This window comes from Homo sapiens, chromosome 3 (assembly GCF_000001405.40).
Source record: "Homo sapiens chromosome 3, GRCh38.p14 Primary Assembly".
Classification (NCBI taxonomy): domain Eukaryota; kingdom Metazoa; phylum Chordata; class Mammalia; order Primates; family Hominidae; genus Homo; species Homo sapiens.
In genome coordinates, this window is record NC_000003.12 from 157,014,839 (window position 1) to 157,033,120 (window position 18,282).

At 36.9% G+C, this 18,282-nt stretch overlaps 1 protein-coding gene and 1 pseudogene across 1 annotated transcript in view; both read left to right on the forward strand.

The window, feature by feature from the left end:
* LEKR1 (leucine, glutamate and lysine rich 1) overlaps positions 1 to 18,282 on the forward strand; it is a 219,777-nt gene that overhangs the window by 188,486 nt on the left and 13,009 nt on the right. Inside the window, exons 11-12 of the mRNA NM_001004316.3 lie at positions 9,922 to 10,086; positions 13,265 to 13,564. Of these exons, the coding sequence (NP_001004316.2) occupies positions 9,922 to 10,086; positions 13,265 to 13,564 (465 nt within the window). The remainder of the gene's footprint in view (positions 1 to 9,921; positions 10,087 to 13,264; positions 13,565 to 18,282) is intronic.
* Positions 2,504 to 2,858, forward strand: RN7SKP177 (RN7SK pseudogene 177; annotated as a pseudogene).

Below are 18,282 nucleotides of genomic sequence, written 5' to 3' on the forward strand. Positions count from 1 at the left end.
AACACTTACAGAAGTTAGGTAATTTGCCAAAGTTATAAAGGCAGGAAATAAGCTGAGAATCCACCTCCATGTATCTAAATACAAAGTTCCATATTTCTGCATTTGGCCAAGATGGAGTAATGGGGACCAAATTTACCCTCCTACCTAAAACAAATAAAACAGTGAGGAAACGATAGAAAACAATTGTTTCAAGATATTGGACATCAGGCAATGAAAGACAGTGATTCCTGGAAACAGAAGTCAAACAAGGTGAGCCCTGTGGTTGCCATAACTTAGTGCCCTGAAAGAAATTTCAGGTCATGGTTCAGGGAGTGGGAATCTAGTTTGAACTTGTCAGATTCTTTGAGTTGAGGAAACCTTGCAGCGTCCTGGGAGATCATGGTGGCTAAAGTTCATGGATAGTGTTCACAGGAGAGAGTTGCACAGGGAAGAACACTGGCGATCTACAAAAAGTCCGCCTTGCATATGTTTATGATCAATGTGTACATGTGGGAAAATGACATAAAGCCAGCGACAGACAGAGCCAGAGAGAATATTGAATACTTGCACATGGCCAGTAATTTGCATTTCCATCAGCCAGACTGGTAAACCTGTAATTTATAAGGCCCTAGGTAGAGTGCTCAAAAGGGTCTTGCATCACAAGTTGAGAATACTTAGCCCTAGATGAAATGCTGATTTGATTCTGCATAATACATTTTAAAAGGAAGGCCTAAAATAATCAAGCTGATTTCAAGAAACTGAACTGCATCCTAGGACAGAGCTCAAGAATATTCATAGGAATACAAAAATATCTAGCACCGAACAAGGTAAGTTAACAATGTCTGGCATCCAGTGAAAAATTGCCATCCTTGGAAATATACAAGAAAATAGGGCTCAAAATGAAAAGAAAAATCAATAAATAAAAACTGACCCAGAAAGGCACAGAAGTGAGAATTAGCAGAAAAGACATTAAAACAAATATGATAACTGTATTCCATATACCCAGAAGCTAAAGAAAAAATTGACCATGTTAAGCAGAGAAATGGAAGATATAAAAAAGACCAGTTACTGAGTTTTGACAGATGAAAATTAGATTATCTGATATTAAAAGTACACTGGATTGGATTGATGGCAGATTAGACATTCCAGAAGAAAAGCTTAGTGAACTTGAAGACACAGCAATAGAAAAACTTTTTAAATAAAACAAGATAGAATAGACTCCAAAACAAAAACAAACAAAAAAAACCTCAGAAAGAACATCAGTGAGCCATGAGACAGATTCAAGAGGCCCAATATATGTGTAATTGAAATTCCTGAAGGACAAGAGACAGAAGAGGGAACAAAAAAAATTGAAGAAATAATGACGGAAAGTTTTACAAATTTAATGAAAACTAAACACCCACAGTTTTAAGAAGCTCAATAAGCCTCAGGCACAACAAACCCAAGTTCACCAAGGGAAATTATAATCCAGTTGTCCAAAACAGTAATAAAAAGAATATTTTAAAGCAACTGGATTTTTTAAAAGACCTTATATAGAGAGGAAAGGAGACAGCAGATTTTTTTTAAAATCAGAAACAATGCAAGCAAAAAGATAGTAGGATTGAAAGTACTAGAAGAAAGTTAGGGGGGCAATGAGGAAAGCTGTCAACCTAGAATTCATACCAAGTGAAAATATCTTTCAAATATGAGAGTAAAATGAAGACTTCTTCAGAAAGCACTGAAAAAATGTATTACCAATAGACCCACGCTATAAAAAATGTTAAAAGAAGTCCTTTAGTCAGAAGGAAAGCTATACCAGATGGAAATATGGATCTACACAGAGGAATGTAGAAAACCAGAAATAGTAACACTGTGGGTAAAGATATGGGGTGTTTTTTCATTATTTAAATTTTTAAAAATATAATTGATGATATTTATAACATAGAAGCAAAATATATGACAATAATAACACAATGGCTGAGAGGGTAGAAGTGGAAATATATTACTGTGAGATTCTTATACAATACATGTAGTGATATGTCATTAGAAAGTAGACTGTATTGAATTAAAGACATATTCTCCAAACCCTAAAATTATAGATAATAAGCCAATAAAGGAGACAAAATTGAATTTTAAAATAGCAATCCTAAAGAAGACAGGAAAATAAGGGAAAGAGAAAAAAGATGAGATGGGCCAAATGGAAAACATAGCAAGATAGTAGATTTAAAGCTAATTATATCAATAATCACATTAAATGGAAATGATCTAAACCAGAGATCAGCAAACTTTTTCTATAAAGGACCAGTTAGTTAATATTTTTGGTTTTGTATGACATACAGTCTCTGTCACAACCATTCAACCCTGTCATTGTAACATATAAAAGCAACCATAGACAATATACAAATGAATGGGCATGGCTGAATTTAGTCTGTGGGCCGTAGTTGGCTAAACTCTGGTCTAAATATTCTATTTAAAAGGCAGAGATGTTTATCTTGGATAAAAATGCAACACCTTACTATATGTTGCCTATAAGAAATGTACTTTAGGATGTGAGGGAGACCTGGCTGCGACATCTGTCACTCTGTTGATTACCAGGGTTGATTTGGTTGATCTGGCTGACTAAGCAGGTGTCCCCATCCTCCCTTACTGCTCTATATGTGACCTTCTTGAAGCTGCACGTGTTCTGGTAGAAGAGGATGACCTTCCTTGATAGAGGAGAACCACATTCTTCTGTAAAGGGTATACGAGTAGCTGTGCTCCTCCCCTGCTAGAACTTCTAAATAAGCTCTCAAGAAATGCACTTTAATATAAAAACACAATAGATTAAAAGTAAAGAACGAAAACACAAAAGAAAGCTGGAGGCCAGGCGCGGTGGCTCACGTCTGTAATCCCAGCACTTTGGGAGGCCGAGGCAGGCGGATCACGAGGTCAGGAGATGGAGACCATCCTGGCTAACACAGCGAAACCCTGTCTCTACTAAAAATACAAAAATAAAATAAAAAATTAGCCGGGCATGGTGGCAGGCACCTGTAGTCCCAGCTACTTGGGAGGCTGAGACAGGAGAATAGCGTGAACCCAGGAGGCGGAGCTTGCAGTCAGCCAAGATCAGGCCACTGCACTCCAGCCTGGGCCACAGAGCGAGACTCTGTCTCAAAAAAAAAAAAAAAAAAAAAAAAGAAAGCTGGAGTAGCTATATTACTATCAACAAAGTAGATTTCACAGCAAAGAAATCAGAATACTTAATATTTTGCTAGGATTAAAGGAAGATATTTAATAATGACAAAGGGATCAGTTCACCAGGAGGACATAATAACCCTAAATGTTCATTCACCTAAAAACAGAGCTTACAATTACATGAAGCAAAAACTGATAGAACTGTGAGAAGTAAATTCACTAGTTAGAGCCTAAGATATCAATTCCTTCTCTCAATAATTGATAGAAAAATAGCCAGACAATCAGTAAGGATTTATACAATGGAAAATGGTATAAATTTATTAACAGATATATTGAACGATATTGTTAACAAACTTGACCTAAATTATATTTATAGAATTCTCAATTTGACAGCAGAATACACATTCTTCTCAAGTGCACATGAACATCTTACCAAAATCGACCATATTTTGGCTTATAAATAAGTCTCAATAAGTTTAAAAGGATTCACATCATACAAATATTTTCTCTGACCACAATGAAATAAAATTAGAAATCGTTAGCAGAAAGTTATCTGGACAATCCTTAAATATTTTGAAACTAAATAAATACCAAGACCACGCCCTGAGCCCACTATGCTGTACAGATGTAGGGGTTGGGGGGACAGCTTACATGAAAAAAAAACTAAACACACTGAGCTATAGAGTTCACCGGCAACACCTGAGTATACACATTGTTTCCACCTTGTAGTTGCTCTATGATCTTGGTGAAGTTACTTACTTCTCTGAGCCTATCTCTTAATCGAGACAGTGGGAGTAATACTTCTATTATTCTATGTTATTCTTAGAGTTGTAAGAATTAAAAGAGTTAATATATAGAAAGTGTCCTATACCATACCACCCTAGCTTGTATTCATTTACTCAGTGAACATTCTCTCCTTCCAACCTAAGTTCACATAGTTCTTGACAGGATTTGACCTGCAGCCTACATATTCTGATTCCTTAGCATTCATTTTTTAACTGCAAATTCTGTTTTGAATAATCATCTGCTTTTATTATTTATTCAGTAGCTATTTCAGAAATAATCTAAAGTACTGTAATAATTTGCAATCAGTATTCATTTTTAAGTTTTGTAAAATAGTACAATAATTTATTTTAGGAGCCATATCTTTAAAAATTATATATGCATATCAAATATAAGCAAATTATTTGATTCCTACTTTGGCATCTAAAATTCCCATTGGTTTTAAAGGTATCATTGAGTAATAAATGGTCATATTATAACATGGTGTTTGGCTCCATGTTCAATAAGAAAAATGATAATAACAAAGTCAACCACAAAGACCTCGCTTGGAAAATAGTGAAAAGGCAGTATTTTGCATATTGGTATTAAATACAGATTTTATAAAGTACTAATTATGCATTTCAACAACAAATACAAAAGAAATTTAAAAACAATGCTCTGAATGCTCTGGAGTCATCCGGTGGCCTTCACCAAGGAGATGGAGTTTCAGCTAGAAGAGGATATAGATAAATAAAAACCAAAAATAATTAAAACCTGGGATGTGTACAAAGATAATAATTGATTTTACTTTGTGTAATTCTTAAGTTAATATTATTCATGCTTTTTTAGAAATCATAATTTTCTTCTTATCAAAATTACTATTAGTTATTGTATAAAGTGGTTCATGCTTTATATGTACACCATCAACAAATTTATTTATTTTGCTCAAACATAACTCCTGTCATCTAAAATATTTTAAATTATCAGCTCCTATCAACATTTAAAAATAAAAACATGGCAATTTGGCATGAATGCACCTACTGAAAGGCAAATAATGTACCCCTTAAGCAAATCGTTGTGTTTATGGGCTCATAATTTTGTTCAAACTAATCAGATCATGAAGGAACCAGTAATCTCATTTCTCTGTGCTAACACGTCAACACATTCAGATGGCTCTTAGCATCCCACTGCAGCTTTCCTAAGTGTTTGAAATCCCATGTGAAAACTCATCACTCTGCTTCTTTTTCTCAGATTGTGCAAATTAAAAACAAAGCTAGTAATAGTCAATCATTCTTCTCCCTTTTGTCTACAGTGCTTGTTCTTTCCCACTGTCCATATATTTATTCCTTCCTTGTTTTCTCTCTTTACCTACAGTAGTTCAAAGAATAGTTCAGGGGCAACAAGATCTTGCTTTCTAACTCGAGTAAAACAGAACATTCAGCTCATTCAAGCCATCAGCCATCACCTTTTCTTCCCTGAATATTTTATTTCAACTTCATCAAAGGGACCCTGCTGATTTTCTTTTATTATTATTATTATTATTATTATTATTATTATTATTATACTTTAAGTTTTAGGGTACATGTGCACAATGTGCAGGTTAGTTACATATGTATACATGTGCCATGCTGGTGTGCTGCACCCATTAACTCGTCATTTAGCATTGGGTATATCTCCTAATGCTATCCCTCCCCCCTCCCCCCACCCTACATCAGTCCCCAGAGTGTGATGTTCCCCTTCCTGTGTCCATGTGTTCTCGTTGTTCAATTGCCATCTATGAGTGAGAACACGCGGTGTTTGGTTTTTTGTCCTTGCGATAGTTTACTGAGAATGATGATTTCCAATTTCATCCATGTACCTACAAAGGACATGAACTCATCATTTTTTATGGCTGCATAGTATTCCATGGTGTATATGTGCCACATTTTCTTAATCCAGTCTATCATTGTTGGACATTTGGGTTGGTTCCATGTCTTTGCTATTGTGAATAATGCCGCAGTAAACATACGTGTGCATGTGTCTTTATAGCAGCATGATTTATGGTCCTTTGGGTATATACCCAGTAATGGGATTGCTGGGTCAAATGGTATTTCTAGTTCTAGATCCCTGAGGAATCGCCACACTGACTTCCACAATGGTTGAACTAGTTTACAGTCCCACCAACAGTGTAAAAGGGTTCCTATTTCTCCACATCCTCTCCAGCACCTGTTGTTTCCTGACTTTTTAATGATTGCCATTCTAACTGGTGGGAGATGGTATCTCATTGTGGTTTTGATTTGCATTTCTCTGATGGCCAGTGATGATGAGCATTTTTTCATGTGTCTTTTGGCTGCATAAATGTCTTCTTTTGAGAAGTGTCTGTTCATATCCTTCACCCACTTTTTGATGGGGTTGTTTGTTTTTTTCTTGTAAATTTGTTGGAGTTCATTGTAGATTCTGGATATTAGCCCTTTGTCAGATGAGTAGGTTGTGAAAATTTTCTCCCATTTTATAGGTTGCCTGTTCACTCTGATGGTAGTTTCTTTTGCTGTGCAGAAGCTCTTTAGTTTAATTAGATCCCATTTGTCAATTTTGTCTTTTGTTGCCATTGCTTTTGGTGTTTTAGACATGAAGTCCTTGCCCATGCCTATGTCCTGAATGGTAATGCCTAGGTTTTCTTCTAGGGTTTTTATGGTTTTAGGTCTAACATTTAAGTCTTTAATCCATCTTGAATTAATTTTTGTATAAGGTGTAAGGAAGGGATCCAGTTTCAGCTCTGCTGATTTTCTAATTGACCTAATCTCCATAATAATTTTTGAAAACTTTTTTTGAAGGTTCTTCTAAAGTCCTTCTGTCATCTAATTTTTGTCTTGTTCCACCAAGTTTGCATATATTCTCACTGTCTTAATTTGAGCAATCAATCCGTATTTGGAAAGATGTCGTTTTGTCCTAAAATAGCTATTGGGCTCTACTAATTAACCACAGAAGATTTTAAAAAATACTTGATACCTTAGCACCTCAATACACATTTTTCTTGAGCTTCTCAAAATAGTTTGTTGCTCTTTTATTAATAGTGCCAGAGCATCTTATGAACTATTAATGCTTATATTATTCACTTATTGATTACTATTAATATTTAAGAACTATGTGACTATTAATTATTAATAATTAATTAATAATGGAATGTTATTGATTATTAACTTTTATATTAATATTATACCTTCCAATTTTTCCAAATGTATTACATTTGGTTTCTCCTTTCATATATTCTTGACTTATCTATGCCAGAGTGGCCAAAGCACAGTGATCAAATGAGAAAAGTAGTGGAAGTCAGACTGGAGGAATCCAGGACTGCCACCATACACAGTGTTTAAGTTGCACCCTGCAACAGGCCAAGGCAGCAAAGCGAGATGGAATCTAGCCTGTACTCTGCTCATCAAGTCCTATGACTGGCATGAGACTGTTTTCATCTAAGGATGGGGTGCTTTGTCAGTTTACACAAAGGTGTCATATGGGCTAGTAGTCGCCCCGTAAAAGGCCATATACAGGAGTTTTGATATATTAATGCACTGAGAAACCACGAAGAAGGAATAAAAAAATCTAATTTATAGTTTGTAAAGAATACTGTGCTGTGTGTAGTAGCATGGGTTGGAGTGAAGCAGGAGTGAAAGTAAGGAGGCTGTTCAGGAAGTGATGGTGGCCAGAACTAGGTGATCAGGAAGTGCTGATGAAAGTTGAGACATAGAGAAATGGATGCAAAGCATCTTTTGAAGGTAAAATGAATAGGATTTTGTGTTGGATTGGGTGGGGAGGGTAAAGGAGAGAGGTATGAAAGATGATGTTCCAGTCACTAACTTGAGTAACTAGATGGATGGTAGAGCTGTGTCCTGAAATAAGAGGGAGAAACAGGCTTTGGGAAGAGTGTTGTTACAAGATTTCTGGGCCATACAATTCATTGGAGGCACCTGTGAATTATCTAAATGGCTACCAGGAGGCAAAGTGGATTTAAGTACCTGAAATTCAGAGGAATATCTTCTTTTTTTCTGAGTGCCCCCTGAGACTTCCTTTGTCTTCAGCAGTCTGAGAGCAGCCCATCTGAATAATTCTGTAATTCTGTAATGTTGCTAATAAATCATCAGTAGCCTATTATCCCAAACAATCCAGAAGTTTATTTTGAAAGAGCCAAAATAACTCTTTGCATTCAGTACTGTATAAACATAATTACATTCCCTTAAGGCAGATGCTTAGTCCTATACCCAGTACAATAAAACCAATTGACCCCACACTGGGGCTAGTCTTCCATCAGTATTTTATTTAATGTAAAGGGCTTCCTTTAACTTTCTTAGCAATATTTGTGTCCTTGTACCCTGGCTTCATTGTTCTCTTGAGAAATTTAGGTTGACCTCTTTCCCTGTCTTGGTGGCCTAAATCACACAGTCACCATCAGTTGTGAGTTTTTCTCCCAATTTACCTGGCTTTACCCTCTCTTAGAGTTTATAATCCTGGCACAGTATAAATCTAGAGCCAGACTGTCACTGGGATTTCCTTTTCCAGTCTCTCTAGATGAACTCCCAGGAGTAAATGACTCCAGTTCTAATAGATTTCTTCTCTTTCTTGTTTCAGTAGGCAGAGCCAAAACCAATGGTTAAAAACCACATGGAGAGAGATGTTGGCTCAACTACAGGAAAAACTGCCTAATGCTTAGTGCTGTCTGAAAATGGAAATGCCTTCTGGGGAAGGAGTGAGTTATGGTTTCTGGAGGTGTGAGGCACCCAGCAGTCAGTCATTTAGTATGGAGTCAGTAGTAGAGACTGAAGGGTCAGAGTGTGGAAGTACTCTCCACTGACTGTTAAATTCCTACTCATGTTAGAGCTTTACACAGAAGCTTTGCCTCCTTTAATCCTCATAACAGCCCCTAAGGGAACTCGTTATAACCCTACCAGGAAGGGTTACAGTCACAAACTTAAGATCACTCAGTTAGGAAGTAGCAGAGCCAGGATTAAGAGCCAGGATTTAAACTCAACTTCATCTGCATCTAGAGTTCTTGCTTATTCTTTCCACAATTCATGGAAACATGAGAGATTGAATTAGGAGATTTCTAAGGTCCCTTCTAGCATTATGATTCTATCTGAGTCAAAGTATGGATACAGATGCTCTTCACCTTTCAGTGGGGTTACATCCTGATAAACCCATCATAAATTGAAGGTATTGTAAGTCAAAAATGGGTAATCTGTAGACATGATGGAATGTGAAAACACAATATCTAAAAAATACTGGCAACACAGTACATACACTGTACAGTATCAGCTGTTTGCCCTCATGATCACATGGATGACTGGGAGCTGTGGCCCACTGACACTGCCTAACATCCCAAGAGAGTATCATACTTCATATCAACGGCCCAGGAAAAGATCAGAATTCAAAAGTTGAAGTATAGTCTCTACTGAAAACGCATATTGCTTTCTCTCCATTATAAAATCGAAAAATCATAAGTCGAACCATTGCAAGTTGGGGACCATCTGTACGGACATTACTGACTCTTTTCCTTTAATCATCCTTCCCACTTTAGTCACATTAAAATGACAATCTGTGACTTCAAAACTTCTATGACCTCCATCAAGAAAGGGCCACTTGAAAAATCAACATTTGTCCTTTGTGTTCCCTCTGAGTTTTAAGCAGAACTTAGTCTAAGGCCCTCAAAATCTGCTTAAAAACAAAAACTTCAATTTTCTGAGTTGCTGGCAAGGACTGAGTTCACAGTATAAATGAGCAAGTAATTAAGCTTTTAGTATTTCTGAAAACTGTCATATAGTTGTAACTCCTCTACTAATTTTTCAGGTCTTAGAAGGTGGTGGAATATTTGGCACAAGGTCAATTTTTCTGGCCCAAGTTCTAAGTCACACTTTTTTTTGAACACTAGAATTTTTAAAATAGTTTAATTAAAAATTTAATGTCAGAACATTTTAAAACTTAGAGTTTGAAAATAAGCTTAATGTACTTATTTTAAGGTAAAAATAGTTTTACATGTGCTTTAAATGCCATTTCTAGATTGAAGCAGAACTTGCCAAGGAAAGGGCCCAACACTTGGTTGAATTTGAAGAGCAAGCTCTTCTCTTTAAGGAAGAAACAAAATTGCAACTTGATATTGAAAAAGAAAAACACCAAGATGTAATCCAAAAGTATAAGAAAGAACAAGAGGAACTACAAATGAAGGTCTGTAATTATGATGTTCATCATTATTTAATAGATTTGAAACTGCAGATGTTGTATATTTCGCCTTAGAACACTACAGTATTTATAATTCCAGTAGCTTTCACTCATGGTCACTGTGTCTTGGTTTTAGCTATGCAGGTAAGACGGTTTGGCTAATTCTCCAGAATGGATAACTGAGATAAGTTATACAAGCATGTAATCCAGCTATGTATGGATTTTTTCTACTGGAATAAACTTATTTTTTAAACATCATAAATTATATGACTAAAAATTAGTACGGCTAGATATTTCAACACCTCAAATATCCAACATTGAAAGATAATGAGGTGTTTTATATAATTAAAATTTTCCCAACCACTAAAGCATATACCCTTTAATTGCAAATATTTTTCATTCTCAACATTTCTGAATGAAGAGAAATATTTTTAAAATGTAATTACACCTCCCTAAATTTCTTAAACAGTATGTTCTAAATACTAAAGGTTTTGTTAAGGTTTTCCTGTTTTTATAGGACTTGAGTGTAGAGTGTGTATGTGTGTGTGTGTGTGTATGTGTATTAATCAAGACCTAGTGGGGAAATAACATTTTGAATACATGCATTAAGAGTCTGTGTTAATTAAGCATCAGACAAGACCTAATGGCTTCTACATTTGTGTACAGGAGGTATGGTACATCCATTTCAGTAGTCCATTGTGAACAACAGGCAGCACCAGCTACATGTGTACAACCAGTGCAATAGCACATGGTCCCACACTCAGAAAGGCTTCATGCTTTGGATTTATTGCTTTGCAGATACTACCTTGAAATTCTTAATAATCTAACTGGGCATGGTGGCTCATGCCTATAATCCTAGCACTTTGAGAGGCCCAAGCAAGAGGATCACTTGAGGCCAGGAATTCAATACCAGCCTGGACAACATAGCAAGACTGTCTCTATTAAAAAAAAAAAAGACTTAATTAGCCTAGTGTGACGGTTCATACCTGTAGTATGTTCATACCAGTGTATACCCTGGCTACTTGGGAGGCTGATACAAGAGGTTCACTTGAACCCAGGAGTTCAAAGCTTCTGTGAGCTATGATCATACCATTGCACTCCAGACTGGGCAACAAAGTGAGACTCCTTCTCTAAAAGAAAAAAAAAAATCTTAGTGATTTTATCTTTGAACTTCTGTTTTGTAAGTGAAATCCTACTGTGGCAATGGAGCATGTGCCACAAGCTTAGAGCCTTGGCTCCCCCAAGGTTCTGCCTCCCCTAGAGGGTTCTCACCTCTTGCTTCCTGGCTCCTGATGCCCCAGGCTCCACCGAGTCTCCCCCTTTCTTCTTCCTCTCACTCTGTGACTGCTGTTGCAGCCCTGGGTGGTTCAGGATCCCATCAGCAGGAGAATGCAGACAGGCAAGCTGGAACTTGCCAAATGTTACAGTTTCTTAAGAGAAGTCATAAATCCTGATTTTTAAATCAAGATTTTGTAAGTGAAACCTCCTGATCTTTAAATGTTGACTGCCTTTTAAAAAATAAAAACATATTTGTGGTTATGTGAACCTCCTCTCCCAAAGATACTTTCAGTGTCAGCTCTCCTCTGGGTGATGAAAACCACTGTGCAGACCTGACAGTGGCCTTCTTCCCTCTTGGATTAATTGAAGATAATAGAATATTAATTTATAAAATTATGAACTATGGTGAAGAGACTTCTCACACAAGTTATTCTTTCTGTAAATTTAACATTTGAAACAAATTTTGGATACATAACTCTTTTTATGTAACAGTTCACAAAGTCCTTGGAACCTTGGTCTGTGAATGTTTTCCAGATTCTTAGTGGGCTAGTTTCTTGTTGTGCTAATATTTATAACATGACAATAATTGAGCATAAGTAATAAAGATATGTTTCATTAGAAGCAGCTCTTGTTTCGTTGTTTTGTTTCTTAAGGAGAAAGAAAACAAGAGGACTTTTCCCTTCTAAAGACTTTCATGCCATCAGGAAAAGCTTCTCCAAGTTATTCTCTCATTCATTTATCTAGAGGAACCACCTTGAGAAGCAATACATTTTCAGAATATTCAAGTGTTTTCTACAACTGTGCTGTCCGTCATGATAGCCACATGTGGCTGCAAAAGTTTCCATTAAATTAATTAAAATTAAATACAATTTAAATTCAGTTCCTTGGTCACATTAGTCATATTTCAGGTGCTCAATAGTCAATACTCTTTTTTGAGAGCTATGGTTAGAGTATTTACACCATGGAAATTACATACAAATCTTGCTTTTTTTTTTTTAAATTTGAGAGTCAGTTGTTAAACATTTACCAGCACCGTCAGTAGTCACATGTGGCTAGTGACTACCATATTGGATAGCATAGAATATCTCTAACACCACAGAAAGCTCTGTTGGGCAGTACTGTTCTGGAAGGCATAGTATCTGGAGTTCCTCCAGCCATTATATACAAAAAAGAAAAAAAAATTATGTTAAAGAAAAATTTATTGGTACAGTTAGGGTAAAGTATAACTCTAGTGCTCTCCTCCTTGCATTCCCCCAAAATCAGGCATTTTGAGATCCCAAAGCCAACCTAGTTAGGTCCAGACAGTCCCCTGATCTACTTGTCAAGACTTGAGCTGAGGCTGGGCACAGTGGCTCACAGCTGTAATCCCAGCACTTTGGGAGGCTGAGGCAGGAGGATTGCTTGAGCCCAGGAGTTTAAGACCAGCCATGGTAACACAGAGAGACACCATCTCTACAAAAAATAAAAAATTAGCCAGGGGTGGTGGCATGAGTCTGTGATCCAGCTACTGGAGAGGCTGAATTGGTAGGATCGTTTGAGCGCAGGAGGTCAAGGCTGCTGAGAGCCATGATTACACCACTGCACCACTGTGCTCCAGCCTTGGCAACAGAGCAAGACCCTGTCTCAAAAAAAAAGACTTGTGCTATCCTTTGTAGCTTAATATAGTCACAGAAATTTATATATTTCCAAAAGTGCCCAAGTGATTAATGTGATACTGTTTTAAGTAGAAAAATAAATGTTTTAGTCTTTTAAAAAGAAAATCTTGAAGGCCTGCACATCATGGGTTTGGTTTCATCTGATCAAGTGAGTACACTGATTAATGAAAATAAACCTCTTAAAAACCATAAGAATTCTGTGGTTACCTAGAAACTATCGCCTACAAGCTAATATGAGATTTATCTTACAGATATCTGACTTAATCACAGGCGCTACAAGAGATCTAAGGCAGGAAGTGACCACTCTTAAAGAAAAACTTCACAAATCCCATATTCGGTACACTGAAGAATCTAATTCAAAGGAAAAAGAAATTGAAAATCTTAAAAATTTGGTTGCAGAATTTGAATCTCGCTTGAAGAAGGAAATTGACAGTAATGATTCAGTTTCAGAAAACTTGAGGAAGGAAATGGAACAGAAGTCGGATGAACTGAAAAGAGTAATGCTGGCTCAAACACAACTGATAGAGCAATTTAACCAGTCCCAGGAAGAGGTAGGAAGCAGATAGTGGTAACTTTGCAATTAATCAAAGAGCACATGTTCTTTCAACAAACAAACAAAAACGTGAAAGGCAGCTTAGTTTCATGGAAAGAGTCCTGGAATGTTAGTCTGACCTAAATCACATCCTGGTGCTCTGTCCTTAATCACATCCTGGTGCTCTGTCCTTAACTTTAGGCAGTCACTTAGCCTCTCCAGACCTGGCTTTCCTGTGAACTACATAATCTCTAAAAGTTTCCTTAGCACCTAGTTCTTTCTTGCAAATAACTATTTTAAGCCTCTAAGAGTAGGAATCTTTATATGTTTATGTCTTATTTGTTTTAACGTTAAATTGTTGCCAAATAAACTTTTAGAGAACTTTCTGCATACATTTAAAAAAATTAGACTATGTCTTTTAAACACAATTTTACCTTAGGTTTTTACTTCCTATCAATGTAAACTTATAAGGTAATATGCATGCGTCGGTTTTCTTTCTTATGTATGTATGATTATTTCAGTGATGGTTTTCATTCAAACTGGAGTAGACCTATTTTGATTTGAAAACATTTTTGAAAGTCTTATGTCTGAACTACTGAGCAGTTTAGAAATACTGAAACAATTCATCTGTTCTCTAATCATCAATATCATATCACATTACAATATTTGATCCCTTTGATGACAGTATAGCAAATAAAGGTAAATGGAGGAAGATTCTGAATGTTGGTGAGAAGTAATATCTTTGTTGGTTTGGCATCAGTAAAGGCATAAAAGGAAAGTGCTAACAGCAATATCGATTATTAACAATTAAATATGCCATGGTCTTGCTATATTTAAATTATCAGCCAAAATAGAAAGTTTACATAATCATTGTAATTATGTAATTATGAAGTGAACCTATTACAAAGAAGTTATAAATATAAGATAAAATATGGAGTAGATAGAATACTAGATCAAGAATAATGCCTAAAACAACTCTATAAGTAGAAATTATTTACATGTTACAAATGAGGAAGAGACTGAAGAAGGTTGAATAATTTCCATAAGGTCAGACAGTTTGGTGGAGCCAAGATTCAAATTCGAATCTCTATGATATGATGTTTCCTCTTTTGGGAAACCCAGTTCTTATTATTCTGCTTCTGTATTTCACAGTGACCACAGACTTAGCAGTTATAATCTCCAGGGACTCAATTTTCTTTTAGTATTATAATTAAGACAAAAAGATGATTAAGTTCTCTTGTTGTTACACAGCAGCTCAGTCCCCCCAATGAAGGAAGCCGCACCCCTAGTTCAGGCAGGAGTAAGGAGGGAGAGCACACGTGGACTTAGCTCTGCTAGAGAAACCCTGAGAAAGAGAGAAGTGATGCTGATTTGCCTCAAATGAGACAGCAGTAGTGAATCTCTAGAGGAGGGAAGCAGGATAAAGGACAGAAAGATTGAGGCAACTAGACTAGCAGGTTTTCTAACTATTCATTCACAAAAGAAATGGCAATATAGAAAATGAGGAGTAACTTATAAACTAGGACAAACAGAAAAAGACGGAAGGGCCAAATTCAGTAAATGTATATTAGCATCTGTGTTACTCTGTTCTTGCCTTAGTCTAAAGGAATATGTGAGACTGGATAATTTATAAAGAAAAGAGGTTTAGTTGGCTCATGGTTCTGCAGGCTGAACAGGAAGCATAGTTCTGGCGAGGACCTTAGGAAGCTTACAATCATGGCGGAAGGTGAAGGAGAAGCCAGTGCATCACATGGTGAGAGAGAGGTGGGGGGAGGTGCCACATTATTTTAAACAACCAAATCTCGCATGAACTAACACAGCAAGAACTCATTCATCACCAAGGGGATGGTGCTAAGCAATTCATGAAGGATCTGCTGCCATGATTCAAACACCTCCCACTAGGCCCCACCTCCAACATTGAGGATTACATTTCAACATGAGATTTGGAGTTGACAAACTTCCATACCCCATAACAGCATCTATCTGGGTGCCAGGCACGTGTTAGATAGGTACTGGTGATGTAATTATGAATAAGACTGACAACTGCCACTTCCTGCTCTCAAAGAAGAATTTAAAGAAAACTTTGCATGAGTAATTAAATTAATATCCAAAGGAAAGAATGATCTAAACAGAATTTATCATAAAAAAAGCATAGACTGAAAGCTCGAACATTTGCATGAAGAGCCTGTATAAGTTATCTATTGCTACGTGACAAATTACCCCCAAGTTTAGCAGCTTCAAACAACAAACATTTATTATCTCATAGCTTCTGTGGGTCAGGAATCTGAGCATGGCTTAGCTGAGTGTCTCTGGTTTAGAGGCTCAAGTTCTCTCATGAGGTTGGTGTCAGGGTATCCACTGGGCTGCAGTCTCATCTAGAGGCTCAACTAGGATGGGATTGGCTTTCAGGCTTACTTATATGGTTTTTGGCAGAATGTATTTGGCCAGAGGCTTCCCTCAGTTCCTTGCCACATGGACCTCTCCATAGAACAGCTCAGTGTGTCAGCTGACTTCCCTCAGGGCAAGCGAGTGAGAATGAGAGAGAGAAGGTGCCAAGACAGAAGCCACAGTCTTTTTGCAACCTAATCTCGGAAGAGACATACCAGTGCTTCTGCTGTATTCCATTTATTACAAATGAATCAGTAAGTCCAACCCACACTCGAGGTGAAATCATTGCACAAAGATATGAATATCAGGAGAGTAAGGATCATTAAGGGGGCGTTTTAAAGGCTTCCAATCACAGGGCTTCGGGAGGTGATTTTGGCAAGAGAAAATAGACTAAAAGTGAAGAGTGGATTTCTTCATCGACAAAAGGAGCTGCAGTTGGAACTCTTCCTGCTCATTAGTTTTTAAAAGAAGCCACTTAGGAATAAAGCTTTTTTAAAAAAATGTGGACTGAAAGACATAAGACATTGGGTTGGTATATAAATGATCACAGATCATTGCTAGAGAGGAGAAAAGGATCATCCCAAAGGTAAAGAAAACCAATTAAGGGTATACTTAGGGGGGCAATTTCCTTTTGTGGGAGCGGGGAGGGTAGACTAGAGTTTCCTTTAGAAGTTACCAAAATATCACCTCAAAGTTAACTAATTCGAACTGAACTGTAAGAGTAAATAATTAAGGCTGCTTCTCTGGCTAAGCATGCCAGAGTCCAAAATATGCTTATAAAAATAGGAAATGAGCCAATAAAAGGGATAGGATTTATGAGCCAAAAAGAATAGAGGCCATAGCATGTAAAGTGAAAAGCACCACTTTTTTTGAAAATGCATTCCAGACACTTGAAATTTCTCAGATTCTGGAGAAATAAAGCTGCATTTAAGTGGAAAACAAATTCCCATTCGAATGAAAATAAATTAATGGTCTAATAAGGAGGCTAATTAAGAGGAGGAAAGCCCTGTTCTCTTTCAAGAGGCCAAATAATGGGTAGACTTTGTTTTTAATTGTATGAAGAAAGTTCTCAAGGATAAGAGGAAAGCCAAAGCCTCTAAAGGGCAAAATGGGCCTTCCTAAGTGGAGCAGGGATTATTGGAGGGCATCCCCAGAAACAGCAAGGGTCGCAAAGCAGAGCAACAAAGGGTGCAGGTCAATAAAAAGAGAAAATGGAAAATAAAACTGTGCTAGAAATGTAAATGTGAACAAGGAGTCCCTGAGAAGATACATTAAAAGATTGGAAAGGAGGGAGGGAGGGAGAGAGAGTGAGAGAGAGAGAGAGAGAGAAAGTTAATATGTTAGAGAATAACACTTATCAATAAAACCAAGTCAAAATGGGTCATGTGCTTCTTGATGCCCATTTTCCTTCCTACTGGTTCCATGTGAGTACAGTCAAGACAGTGTGACCCCCTATTACGGACCTTGTTGTGATCCAGAGGAAGAATGTGGTAAATCAAATAAACAGCTCACATACAATCACCGAAGGACAATCAGTACAGATAGTTCAATATTTTTGTTGTTTGAAGACCACACATAAGGGAGCCAAAAGAGCAGTAGTTTTAAATGCTATAGTTCTTGTAGTCATACAATGAAGATGAGTGATACTCAAAAATAGAAAATAATGCTCTTGGTTAAACATGGAGAATTGAATACATATGTTTATCTCTACTTCATTCCATTGCCACTAAAATGGCAGTCAATTAATAAAAAGTGAATAAATCCATTAGGACAAAGAGAACAGGAGAGGAGTTAGCACTTGATAAAAAAGATATTGGCCAAAGCTTACAAAAATGGAAAGCAAGTGTCTAAGAGATAAATAACTTATCATATAGAATACTGAAACCTAATGCCCGTGAGGATTGGGGATGGGAGGATTCAAAATGGAGAAAATCTAGTTATGTGACACAACACTGGAGAGGCTCAGGAATTGGAGAAACTAGATGCAGGCATAACTTGTTTTATTGCATGTCACTTTATTGTGCTCCACAGATACTGTGGTTTTTTTTTCCCCACAAATTGAAGGTTTGTGGCAACCCCTATGTCGAGAAAGTCTCTCAGTGTCATTTTTTCAACTGCATGTGCTCACTTTATGTCTTTGTGTCACAGTTTGGTAATTCTTGCAATATTTTAAACTCTTTCATTATTATTATATCTGTTATGGCCACAAAACCAGTGATCTTTGATGTTACTATTACACTTGTTTGTGGGTGCCAAGAATGGTGCCTATATAAGACAGCAAACTTAATAGATAAATGTTGTGTGTGTTCGGACTAATCCACTGACTGGCCAGTCCTCCATCTCTCTTCT